The following is a 12,965-nucleotide window of genomic DNA, read 5'->3' on the forward strand; positions in this document are numbered from 1 at the left end:
TTACAGTTGCTATCTCTGGGCAGGTTGGTCCAAGAGATGCTGACTCAGCCATTACTGGAAGTGGTGTCTTATTAGTTAGTTTTAGCAACAATGCTTTTTATTCATAACTAGGTTTAGATTTATTAAAGAAGCACTCTTCCATAAACAGCATGCATATCTGTGCAGCTACTAAATATGTTCCATAACTTTCAATTTGGAAATTTGACATAAATTTGTTTCATGAAGTACATTTCATTATTCTGATATATTATTCAAAATAAAATTCCATTTTTTTATGTTCTTATATATGAGAACAAGGAGAGGTACAGGAAAAAATATCAAACCAGGTAGTGTGATGCCTCCAGCTTTGTTCTTTTTGCTTAGGATAATCTTGCTATGCAGGCTCTATGTACGAAAAAGAAAGCAATTCAGCTCTTCTTGGTCATGGAGGACACCTACTGACTCATTTGTGGCAGTGATTTTGTGCAAAATGTATTACAGAAGTGAGGGAGGATCACTATCATAACATAAGTTCATTTATCCCAAGTTCAGATGAAATAAAGGCACTTTCTTCATGCTGGGTGTTAGCAGTATACTCAGCATGAGCAAAACCAAGCCCACGTCAACTCCTCCAAACCTAATCTTCTTCCAATATTCCCCATCCTACTGAATGTTGCCACCATCCATCCAGATGTGGAAGTCAGAGACTTGGTGTCATGCTTATACCCCCCTCCCCCTCCCCACTCCATATCCAATCCATCACCAAATTTTGTTGATTTTTACTCCCAAATATCTTTATCCACATCTCTCATCTTCACCTCCACTTCTCTAAGTTATCACCACCTCTCATCCACTCTTCGAAAGTACTTACTGTGTTCTTTCTATGTATAACATCATTTTGATAACTTCCCTTACATTAACTCATTTAATCTCACATTGACCATTATCAGCTCAAGCAGCACTGCCTTCTCAGGAAGGAGCTTTGACTGCTGATTTGAGAATTCTTTTCTAATGTAAGCATCTAGTGCTATAAATGTCCCTGTAAGCAATGCTTTAGCTAACATCCCACAAATTATGATATGTTGCATTTTCATTTTTTGTTCAGTTCAAAATATTTTCTAATTTCCCTTCAAATTTCCTTTTAACCCTTCAGTTATTTAGAAGTTTTTAAATTTCCAAGTATTTAAGTGTTTTTCCATTTATTTTTCTATTACTGATTTCTAATTTAATTCCATGTAATCAAGGACCATATATTGTATGATTCCAATTCTTTTAAATGTATCTAGGTTTGTTTTCTGACCCAGGACGGGCTATCTTGGTGACTATTCCATATGTACTTAAGAGAATGTATATTTTACTATTTTGAGGTGAAGTGCTATGTGAATATCAATCTAATTTAGTTTGTTAACATGTTATACAGTTCTCTTACATCCTTACTAATTTTCTGTCTGCTTGTCTTATATTACTGAGAGAGAAGTGTTAAACTCTCCAACTATAATGGAGGCACCAACTACAATTGTGGGTTTGTGGGTTTCTCTTTTCAGTTCTAACCATTTTTATTTCATATATGTTAAATTTCAGATGTTAGGTATGTGCCCACTTAGAATTCTTATGTCTTCTTTTTAAAATTTTTTTTAAATTGTACTTTAAATTCTGGGATACATGTGCAGAATGTGCAGGTTTGTTACACAGGTATACACGTGCCAGGTGGTTTGCTGCACCTATCCACCCATCATCTACATTAGGTATTTCTACTGATCCTATGCCTCTGCTAACCCCCCACCCCCCCATCCCCCGACAGGCCCAGTTTGTGATGTTCCCCTCCCTGTGTCCATGTGTTCTCATTGTTCAACTCCCACTTACGAGTGAGAACATGCGGTGTTTGGTTTTCTGTTTTTGTGTTAGTTTGCTGAGAATGATGGTTTCCAGCTTCATCCATGTCCCTGCAAAGGACATGAACTCATCCTTTTTTATGGCTGCATAGTATTCCATGGTGTATATGTGCCACATTTTCTTTATCCATATCCAGTCTATCATTGATGAATATTTGGGTTGGTTCCAAGTCTTTGCTATTGTGAATAGTGCCACAATAAACATATGTGTGCATGTGTTTATAGTAGAATGATTTATAATCCTTTGGGCATATACCCGGTAATGGGATTGCTGGCTCAAATGGTATTTCTGGTTCTAGATCCTTGAGGAATAGCCACACTGTCTTCCACAATGGTTGAACTAATTTACACTCCCACCAACAGTGTAAAAGCATTCCTATTTCTCCACATCCTCACCAGCATCTGTTGTTTCCTGACTTTTTAACGATTGCCATTCTAACTGGCGTGAGATGGTATCTCATTGTGGTTTTGATTCGCATTTCTCTAATGATCAGTGATGATGAGCTTTTTTTCATATATTTGTTAGCTGCATAAATGTCTTCTTTTGAGAAGTGTCTGTTCATATCCTTCACCCACTTTTTGATGGGGTTGTTTTTTTCTTGAAAAGTTGTTTAAGTTCTTTGTAGATTCTGGGTATTAGCCCTTTGTCAGATGGATAGAGTGTAAAAATTGTCTCCCATTCTGTAGGTTGCCTGTTCACTTTGATGAGTTTCTTTTGCTGTGCAGAAGCTCTTTAGTTTAATTAGGTCCCATTTGTCAATTTTGGCTTTTGTTGTCATTGCTTTCGGTGTTTTAGACATGAAGTCTTTGCCCGTGCCTATGTCCTGAATGGTATTGCCTAGGTTTTCTTCTAGGATTTTTATGGTTGTAGGTCTTACGTTTAAGTCTTTAATCCATCTTGGGTTAATTTTTGTATAAGGTGTAAGGAAGGGGTTCAGTTTCATTTTTCTGCATATGGCTAGCCAGTTTTCCCAACACCATTATTAAATAGGTAATCTTTTCCCCATTGATTGTTTTTTGTCAGGTTTGTCAAAGATCAGATGATTGTAGATGTGTGGTGTTACCTCTGAGGCCTCTGTTCTGTTCCATTGGTCTATATATCTGTTTTGGTACCAGTACCATGCTGTTTTGGTTACTGTAACCTTGTAGTATAGTTTGAAGTCAGGTAGCGTGATGCCTCCAGCTTTGTTCTTTTAATATATGTGCTTAATTTACATTTAATGAAATTATTCACATGGTTGCAATTATTCACATGGTATGAAGTCAGGCAGTTGGTGTGTCAGTGGCTTCACCCCAGGAAACCACCCCTCAGCCCCATGCGCATGGCTGCAGAGTGCCCAGTGCCACCGTCCATGCTCCAGGCAAGGGTGGAGTAGGAGTGGACTCTTAAGCCAGGTTGGCAGTACACTCAGCCACCCAGAGGCCATCCCAGGGGAGCCCTGCTAGCCTGCTCTTGCACCTATAGTGCAGCTGCCACCTGCATGTCTCCCTTGGGCTGCAGTGGCCAGGCAACCACCATCTGCCCACCCCTTCCCCCAACCAGGACCCTAACTGCGGACTCTGGCACCAGACACTGCCACCGCTGTCAACCAGGCCCTGCAGAGGCAGGAAAGCTGAACTGGCTGCTGATCCCCTTCTGGTTGGCCAGCAGTACCCACGCCTGTGGCCCCTGGACTCCTAGTGCGGGCTAAGGTGTAGTGGACCCTCGGGCTTGGCCACGGCACAATGGGCCACCTGGACAGCATCCAAAAGAGAAGACCTACCAGCCCGTGCCAGCGCCCTAGGTGCAGCTGCCACCTGCACGTCAGGCACCAGCAGCAATGGCCAGACCATCCCTGATTCTCCACGCCCTCCCCACCACTGCCCCAGCAGCAAGGACTCCCTGACAGGACACTGCGGTAGTGGCTGTCGGGAAGTCGGCTGAGTAGGTGCATAAGGATAAAGATAGACTCTCAGCCCCATCCCGATGGCCACGACGACATGCTCATCCCCTGGCGGCTCCTCAGCCCTATCCTAGTGGCCACGGAGTGGCATGCAGGCAGCAGCCATAGGAACCCCGATTGCCCCTCCTCACACGTGCCCATCACACGACCTGGGCGACTGGGTGGTGAAGTCAGGTTGTGGCCCCAGCGGCGCCACGAGGCCGAGAACCGGCGCTTAGCCTCATCCCTGTGGCTGCAGAGTGCCAAGCCCCAGGTCCTGCGCTCAGGGCAGGGGTCAAGAGCAGCTGGCAAGGGCGGCGCAGCCTGTGGGGCCCTTGGGCGCGGCGGGCCGCAGCTCCGGGAAGCCACGTCAGCCCACCGGCGCTGCAGCTGCAGCCGCCACCAGCACACGGACCAGGGGTCGCCGAGGATTGGGAATCCCCGACCAGGACTGCGCCTCCAGCCGTGCGGACCCCGGGGCCAGCGGGGCAGCGGCAAGTCAGGCAGTCTGCAGCAGGAGCGCTGGGCATGGGCTTCGGCCCGGGTTGCAGGAGGCGTGCACCCTCCGGCCGGATAGGCGGCGCACTCAGGGACCAGGAGGCCATCCCAGGTGAGCCCCGCCAGCCCCAGCCGGAGCCCGAGCTGCAGCTGCCACCTGCAAGTGGTGCTCTGGCTGCAGCGGTGGCAACCCCGGATCCAGTCCTTCCGCCTCGCGCCCATCAGCGCGGACCCGGGGGCGACGCAGTGGCGAAGTCGGGCTGTGGGCCCGGCGGCGGCACCAGGCGGAGAAGCGCCACTCAACCCCATCCCTGGGCTGCAGAGGGCCCAGCGCGGAGGGCTCCGCGCGTCGGGAGCCGGTGGAAGAGGAGAAGAGCGCGCGGGCGACAGTCATACAGGCCTTGGGGCAGGGCGCGCCTCGCGCTCCAGGGAGCCACGCCAGCCCGCTGCGCCTCCGCAGCAACCGCCGCCTGCACGTGGCGGGGCGAGAGAGCTGCTAGGGCGGTTTCTCCGCCTCGGGCCTGTTGGGCGGGGCCGGCTAAGGTGCGCGTGCTCGCTGGTCCTAACGGTTCTGTTGGGCGTTTCTGCTGAGAGGCGGGAGGGGCTGAGAGTCTGTGCGAAGGTAGGTGGACAGACTGCATTGCTTGTTGTTGCGCTTCGGAGGCGGCGATCCCCGAAGGCGAGCTGAAATACGGCTGGAGCGTTCCCAGGCTACAGTTTGTAGCCGACGATTGTGGAAGACTAGGAGCCGGAGAGGTGGCCCACCCTCAGGGAGCGCTTGTGCTCGGAGGGCTTCTCATTTCCCCAATACCACATTAAATCGTCTCATCTGAGGAGGATCCACAGAGCTGTCTTCTATGGTAATCTGGAGAAACTGGAGTACCTTCTGCTCACGTATCATGACACCAATGAGAGAGACAAGGAGGAAAGGTAATGGGGGCCGGGAGCCGGGGCTGCGGGAGGAGGCCTGTGGATGTGGAGAAGTACCCCCTTCCAGGCTGAGGGCTGTGGGGCGGATGGTCCGGAGCTCGGGGTATGGACGGGGGCTAGGGGGTGCCTGGCTGGGGTGGGAGTGAGTGGAACGGGGCCTGGGGAGTGGGGGTATATGGGGTGGCGGGGTGTGGAGTGAGTTGGGGGATGGGAGTGGGGAGTAGGGGGTGCATGGGGTGGGGGTGTGAATGGGCTGAGGTGGATGGAATGAAGGCTTGGGGGGTAGGGGTGTGGACAGTGTGGGGTGGGGAGATGGGGTGAGGGTTCAGTGGGATAGAGGACTGGAGGTGGGGGTGAGGTGTAGGGGTGAATGGGGTGGGGGAAAGGGGTGCAGAGGTGAGGGGGGCGAGTCCTGTCACCAAAGGGGCTGGACTTTCTTTCCTGGCAGGCTCAGCCGCACCTGGGATGTGGAAACCTTGGCGGGGGTGAGCACCCAGGCCATTTTCACTAGCAGCAAAACAAAAACAAAACTTCAGCTGGTTTCCAATCACTCACCATGCTTCTTCTTTATAAATCATTTTAAAGTGATTTCGCCAATAAAATTCAGCATGTACAGCGTTTTATTTTTAATGTACACATTTTAAAGCATAATGTTACATACATTATGGAAAGTTGCATAATGAGAGAAATCATTTCCATAATATATCAACTCCCTGACTAAAAATTCTTTGGATAAAAATGCAATATTTATTTGATATCAATGGACACCTATGTCAATGTGGTTTTCACTGAGGGACCTTAGAGGGAAACTTTGAAGTGGGAAGATGGTCTGTGTTCTTGAATAGAAAGACACATTTTTCTAAAATTCTGAGCTCTTTCTGTGTTTATAAATTTTACATAATCCCAATAAAGTTATTAAAGTGTTAACATTTTTGAATTACTCATGCTGTCTTTTACTATTGTGATGACATTAAGAAAACTTTTGAAATGGAGTCAAAAAAGACTTGCCTTTCTAGATATGAAAATGTGCTGTTAATTTCCACAAGGTATTTACTAACAGCTGAAACAACAAATCAGTGAACGGAACAGGTTAGAAAATCCAGGAACACACCAATATGTGTAAGAATTTATTAGGTTGGTGCAAAAGCAATTGTGGTTTTTGCCACAATTACAAGGAATGGCAAAAACCGCAATTGCTTTTGCACCAATCTAATAGAATTGGATAATGGTGACATTTCATATTAGTAGGAAAAGATGAATTACTCATAAATGAAGTGCCTGCTAACTACTTGGATAAATCTGGCTAGATTTTTATGTCACAGAAATAAGTTCGTTATGGAATGTAGATTAAAAATTTTAAATGCACAAAATAAGAAAGATAACAGAAAAAAACACAAATGCCTACTTATACATGTTTATATTCCTACAAATATCACAAGCACACATTCTGAAGGTTGATTTAGCAAAATAAAAAAAATTCAGTTTATAAGAAAAAATTAACAAAAGACAATATGTGTATATACATATTAGATAAAAAAGTGATTTTCATTTTACAGAGAATTCTTCAAATAAACAAGAACTCTCATTTAAAATAGAGCAAAGCATTTTTTTTTCAGATATTCAAGCAACCTATGCACATAGGAAAAAATATTTAGTGTTCCTGGGAGGAGAAGGTATTTAAGTTAAAAAAGGAATGAAATACTGTTTTCTATCCACAAGTTTGTGAGGGTAAAGAGTAGCAGTACATATACTGCTGTTTAAAGTTTACGTTTCTGATGACTTTTCAAATAGTCACTTTGTTGGTAAGTATCACACTTTAAAAATGTATGTGCCCTTCACCCATCAATTCCATTATACTAAAATATCTCTAGGAAATAGAGATACATGCAATTTTTTTTCTCAGCACTGCTTAAAATAGCAATGTATTTGGAAAACCCCTTATAATGGATTTTATAAATTTTATAAATCTATCAATAAATTTCAGTGCATCCATAGGATGGAACAATATGGGACCTTTGCAGATGTCAGTAGATACAGATGTATGTTGAGGTGTGAAGATGTACTTTGAAAAAAAGTTGGTTTGATTATACATACACACAAACAGTCTATGGTGTTTGTAAGCCAAATATGTGTACAAAATATAACATTTCTTCTTTTCTGGCAGGTGTATTGTGTTATTTTTTCTTATCTGTGATGTATAAATGATCAGTATGTTTAAAACTTCTAGTAAATGTTTTTTTATTAATGAAATTATGCTTGGGAAAAGAAGAAATGTAAATCTTGCAAAGAAAAAATAATTCTTACTTCCTATTTTATTTTATTATTTATTTATTTGTTTGTTTGTTTATTTTTGAGATGGAGTCTCACCCTGTCACCCAGCCTGAAGTGCAGTGGCATGATCTCGGCTCACTGCAATCTGCCTCTCAGGTTCAAGTGATTCTCCCACCTCAGCCTCCTGAGTAGCTGGGATTACAGGTGTGCGCCACCATGCCCAGCTAATTTTTGTATATTTTAGTAAAGATGGGGTTTCACCATGTTGGCCAGGCTGGTCTCAAACTCCTGACCTCAGGTGATCCCCCCGCCTCGGCCTCCCGAAGTTCTGGGATTACAGGTGTGAGCCACTGTGCCTGGCCTTATTTTTATTTTTTTGTTTATTGGTATCTTCTGTGAACTTTTAGCCTCTTCAGAGGCAGAGGGAATATTTTTATTTGTGCTTGATTATTTTATTATGCATAGATTTTAGTATATAAATAGGTTTTTATTATAGTTTTATTACATATATGCAAACAATTTTAAATTATTTTAGTTTATCAGTGTCCTCATGAAAATGAAAACGAGCAAATATAAGTGATTATCACTATTCTAAAAGCACTGCTTTAATTTATAGTTTTTTTCATAATAAACTCCCCAACTGTATGTATGCATTCTTTCAATCCAGTTATTCATCAAGCATAACCTGAATACCTATTATGTAGCAGACACATTCCACCATCTCTCAGGACTCTTCCACCCTTAACAACTTCATGTTTACCTGCCCAGCGTGAGCAAGCTGAGAGATTTAAAATGGAAGCATTAGGACTGAATCCCAATTGGATCTTTTATTCCTTTTTTTTAAACAAAAGCAATTCTGAAGTTAGAAAATAGTAAAAGATAACCTTCAACTGCCATTTCAAAAACTTATGACAGTCTCAAATATTACTATTAATCATTGCAAATACCTAATTTACATAACATTCTGTAAGTATTGAAAAAAATGAGCCATACCTATTCATTTGAATCCTGAGTTTTCTTTGGATTATTTTTTTTTTTGAAAATTGAAGTAAGAATTACTTTGTTTTAAAAATTTGTTGTTTTATTTTTGCCTTCTTTTTCCACAGTACTTTATTTATGTGCCAATTATATGAGTAGAACTGCCTGTTCTATGTATTGTATCCCACTTAATGTAAGGCATCACGGATTGTGTGATGCCACATTACTTTATATATCAATAAGATAACGTTTAAAATGTTGCCAGTTATAATTGTAATAAATAATGAATTGTAAACAGTATTCCAATGTCAGGAGATGTTAATATATAAGAGAACAGTAGCTTATATAAGAGAATAGTGAGAAAATGAGCATCTGAGAATGACTGAAATACAATGATACATCTAATCTTTAATAGATACCTCAATGTAGATATGATTGTATCATTTTACTTAATTAAAATGTCTTTGTAAGTAGTAATATCTAAAAATTATTGAGCTGTTATGTTAGAAAGTGTTCTAAATGCTGTACATAGATTCTCATGTAAGCATCACAACAGTGTTCTGTGGGATAGCTACTATTCTCTTATATATTTTATTGATAAAGAAATTGAAGCAAAGAAAGGCTAAATAACAGCCTTAAACATGTTTACTTTGATCTAACTCATCTGCTTATGGCTGGATCCTCATTACGTGAAGGAAACATTTACATTCTAGCATAACCCTTATTTTGCGGTTTGGCCTGTTTCTCCCATTTTATCTCTTCACCCCACTTTCTCTGTCTGTGTCCAAGTTTTACCACGTTATTGTGGTATGTCTTATTGGCTATGCTGTTTCATGCTTTATTTTTTTGCACATGCTGCCCTCACCAGAAACACCTCACACTCTTACTCTTCACTTGTCTGTTTTAAAAATAGAACCCTAAATTTGCGGTGTCTCAGAAGCTTCCCAAGTAGGAATAATTGTTATTGCCTTTGTGCTGTCACTGTATTTTATTGACTTGAATTGCAGAAATAATGAATTGTGTCTTTCTGCTTTTGTTTTTATAAATTGCTTTTTTCACTTGATAAATAAAATTCATATTTTATCATATTATCAGATTTTCCAGGATAGACCTTATGAATTTATAGACACAGAAAATGTTTCTTGAATTACTGACTGATTGAGTAGTAAATATAACATTTTCTGAAGATTTCTTTTTGTTGTTTTTTTTTTTTTTAAATAGGAAAAGCACTACCAGCAACTGGACAAAAAGCAAATGGTATTGGTATTATAAAAAGTGCTCCATGAGAGCAATCAAATAATGATAATGCTATTTTTTGTGTACAAAAAAAAGGTGGTGAGGTAGTGAATATAGCTGAATAATTTTCTATGCTTTAATAAAATTTTTGAAAATAAATATAACTAATTTAAATATAATTTAAAATAAATTTGAAATTAAATTAATTGTTAAATTACATTAAATTATAAGCCTAATTTTAATTAAATTATACACCTAATTTTAATTAAATTATACATATAATTTATTAATTTTTAATAGTAAATATAATTTAATTTAAACATTTTTTCTTAAAACTTTGATGAACATTTAAACTTGTAGATCAAAATATAATATTCATTGTTGAGAAATGGACATTAGATTTACAAAAAAATGTGAGGCGGGATGGTGTAAATTAAGAAAGTAGCTGGCTAGGTAATTTGGAGGTTTCTGATGAGGAAACTTGAGGGAACTCACTTTATGTAGACTCAGTATATTCCCACTCAAAAAGAAGATTAAATTATTGCTGCTTTGGAGCTTACTGGAAGCAGAGGGTAGAAGAACAGCAGGAAACCACAGGAACTCATTTCTTCTCTCTATAGGGGTTACACATCAATCATATGTGCTTCATTCATGTTTGTTAGTTAACTGGGATGCACTTGGATATCAAAACATTGGCGGTTTTCTTTAAAAAAATGCTGTTTTTGATGAAATAGCCATTGTATAAAGGTACCTCAGAGGCTGCTATGCTATACCATATCAAACTGACTTTAGAAAAAACAAACGAGAAATTTATTTCTTGAATACTAAAAGTGTAACTGTCAATAATCATGGCAAAGATTTTGATATGTAAAAGTTGATTAAGCTGGGCTCAGTGGCTCACAGCTGTAATCCCAGCACTTTGGGAGGCTGAGGCGGGAGGATCATGAGGTCAGGAGATGGAGACCATCCTGGCTAACATGGTGAAACCCCATCTCTACTAAAAATACAAAAAATTAGCCAGGCGTGGTGGCATGTGTCTGTAGTCCCAGCTACTAGGGAGCCTGAGGTAGGAGAATCACTTGAACCCGGGCGGTGGAGGTTGCTGTGAGCCGAGATTGTGCCACTGCACTCCAGCCTAGGCAACACAGCAAGACTCCATGTCAAAAAAAAAAGTTGATTATTATGAAAAAAAGTCAATGGTGATTCAGAGATTTTTGTTTACATTTTGTAAATGAAAATCTGAATACTCATTAGTTATTCGATGTGTAATGCATACTTTTTTGCATAAGTGAATGAAAAGATGGCAAGAGAACTAAAGTTGAGAATCCAGAAGTTGAAAATATCAGAAGTCTTCATGACTGTGGATAACATGAGTATTTTTAGAAACGATTTTTCTCCAAGTAGATATCTAAAGTAATGATTGAGAGCACTTTCTGCCAGCAGAAGCGAATGATACATTTTCTTTTCTTTTCTTTTCTTTTTTTTTTTGAGACGGAGTCTCGCTCTGTCACCCAGGCTTGAGTGCAGTGGCGCCATCTCGGCTCACTGCGAACTCCGCCTACCGGGTTCACGCCATTCTCCTGCCTCAGCCTCCCGAGTAGCTGGGACTACAGGCGCCTGCCACCACGCCTGGATAATTTTTTGCATTTTTAGTAGAGACGGGGTTTCACCGTGTTAGCCAGGATGGTCTCGATCTCCTGACTTCGTGATCTGCCCGCCTCGGCCTCCCGAAGTGCTGGGATTACAGGCGTGAGCCACCACGCCCGGCCGTGAATGATACATTTTCATGCACTCTCATTGCAACTTCATAGTTTCTAACATTTATTCTTCTGGGGTCCGATTTGGTTCTCTCATTTGACATCACTTTTTTTGGCTTCATCCAGCAGATTCACATTGGTAGAAATACTTTTCTATGCTACTTGTAGTCATGTGAAACCTAATCTCACCCTTGCAATCTGAACTGCATGTTTTATAGAATCTATATTGTGATTTTTCATGTGTATATTCCTGTCATGTTTGTGTGCTAACCAAAACAAGAGCAAAGCAACCCAAAGCCTAATGGGTAACAATTTCAAGGGCAAGCACGAAGATTTCAGCTGGATACAAACACTGCATGATTGATGGTAGGCTGTGTCATATTTACCTGTAGTCAATTATGTGTTCCTTTTGCTTTGTAGTGTCTCCTGAGCAACCGCCTTTATTCACAGTAAACATATTTTCTTTAATTATTAACAAAATGTTCTGTGATATATACATGATATGTTAATCATTATGTTGTCAAACCCATTCAGCATCCGGTGAAAGACAGAGATCACATTTCAACTAGATTCTTAGGAAGTATGGATTCACTAACTTCAGCGAAGGTAAATTTGCCACTACAAATTTCATTCTAGAAAATGTAGATGAAAATATTGAAAATGCTCATGTTTTTTGATTCCCACTTTTTTTCCAAATGAGATGGAAGGATTTGATGTAAATATGCTGATGTTCTTGTTAATATCTTTGTTTATAAAATGATATTTAAGGCATAAGACAGACATTTTACACCTTAAGCTCTAGCCCAAATGCTTTTCCTTTAAAGTTGTCATCATCTAAAGATCCCAGTTTTGAATTCCTGTGCATGTTAGGGATTTGAGGAGGTGTATTTTGACACTAAATATTTTCAGTGCTTCAAAATTGATTGCAATATTCTTCTCTCTTCTTCATCTAGAGAAAAGCTATACCTGCTGACGTTACAATTGTTTTAGAACTTCAACTCCTTTATGTCAGTGTTGTTACATTGAGAATCTTTACTTAATCACATCTTCTGATTACCAGATTGAGTTTCTGCATGTGTGTGTGTATCTCTGATTAAAAATGAATAAAATGATTAATCATTCTTTTGTAACTCTTTGGTAGATACAGTGTTTTAAAACAATGATTCTGAGCTGTTTTGGCCTTAGAATATTTTCTTCTACTACAATTTATTGCCTACAGGTAACCAACAGCCTGAATTAACGTTTTTTCTTTTAAATCACTGCAATGCACATTAAAAATACTTTACAAGATACTTGCACTTTCATAGGTAATGTGTAGAATCTGTTTCCAAGTATCAAGTCTTCTATACGATTTCACACAGCGTACATAATAGCTGCAACTCGGCTTTTCTAATCAGTGGTATATATTTCAGATCTATTCAGGTTGACACAATTTGGTCATCTTTGATTTGTTGTGTGGTCTTGTGGTATGCCATTTTATGACTGCACCACAATTAATTAAA

At 40.6% G+C, this 12,965-nt stretch overlaps 1 pseudogene across 1 annotated transcript in view, besides 3 other annotated features; it reads left to right on the forward strand.

Moving 5' to 3' along the window:
- Nucleotides 3,607–4,108: an enhancer, noted in NCBI's record as "H3K4me1 hESC enhancer chr2:89064099-89064600 (GRCh37/hg19 assembly coordinates)". NCBI's record gives its function as "activates a minimal SCP1, AML or CMV promoter by ChIP-STARR-seq in naive H9 embryonic stem cells {active_cell/tissue: H9 hESC(naive)}" and the evidence as "EXISTENCE:reporter gene assay evidence [ECO:0000049][PMID:30033119]".
- Nucleotides 4,308–4,377: a silencer, noted in NCBI's record as "silent region_11734". NCBI's record gives its function as "represses an Ori minimal core promoter by ATAC-STARR-seq in GM12878 lymphoblastoid cells {active_cell/tissue: GM12878}" and the evidence as "EXISTENCE:reporter gene assay evidence [ECO:0000049][PMID:35858748]".
- Nucleotides 4,498–4,577: a silencer, noted in NCBI's record as "silent region_11735". NCBI's record gives its function as "represses an Ori minimal core promoter by ATAC-STARR-seq in GM12878 lymphoblastoid cells {active_cell/tissue: GM12878}" and the evidence as "EXISTENCE:reporter gene assay evidence [ECO:0000049][PMID:35858748]".
- ANKRD36BP2 (ankyrin repeat domain 36B pseudogene 2) overlaps nucleotides 4,927–12,965 on the forward strand; it is a 40,695-nt pseudogene continuing 32,656 nt past the window's right edge. The window contains exons 1-2 of the transcript NR_015424.1: nucleotides 4,927–5,221; nucleotides 11,998–12,069. The product of NR_015424.1 is annotated as an ankyrin repeat domain 36B pseudogene 2 (transcript). The remainder of the gene's footprint in view (nucleotides 5,222–11,997; nucleotides 12,070–12,965) is intronic.

Source organism: Homo sapiens, chromosome 2 (genome assembly GCF_000001405.40).
Source record: "Homo sapiens chromosome 2, GRCh38.p14 Primary Assembly".
NCBI lineage: Eukaryota > Metazoa > Chordata > Mammalia > Primates > Hominidae > Homo > Homo sapiens.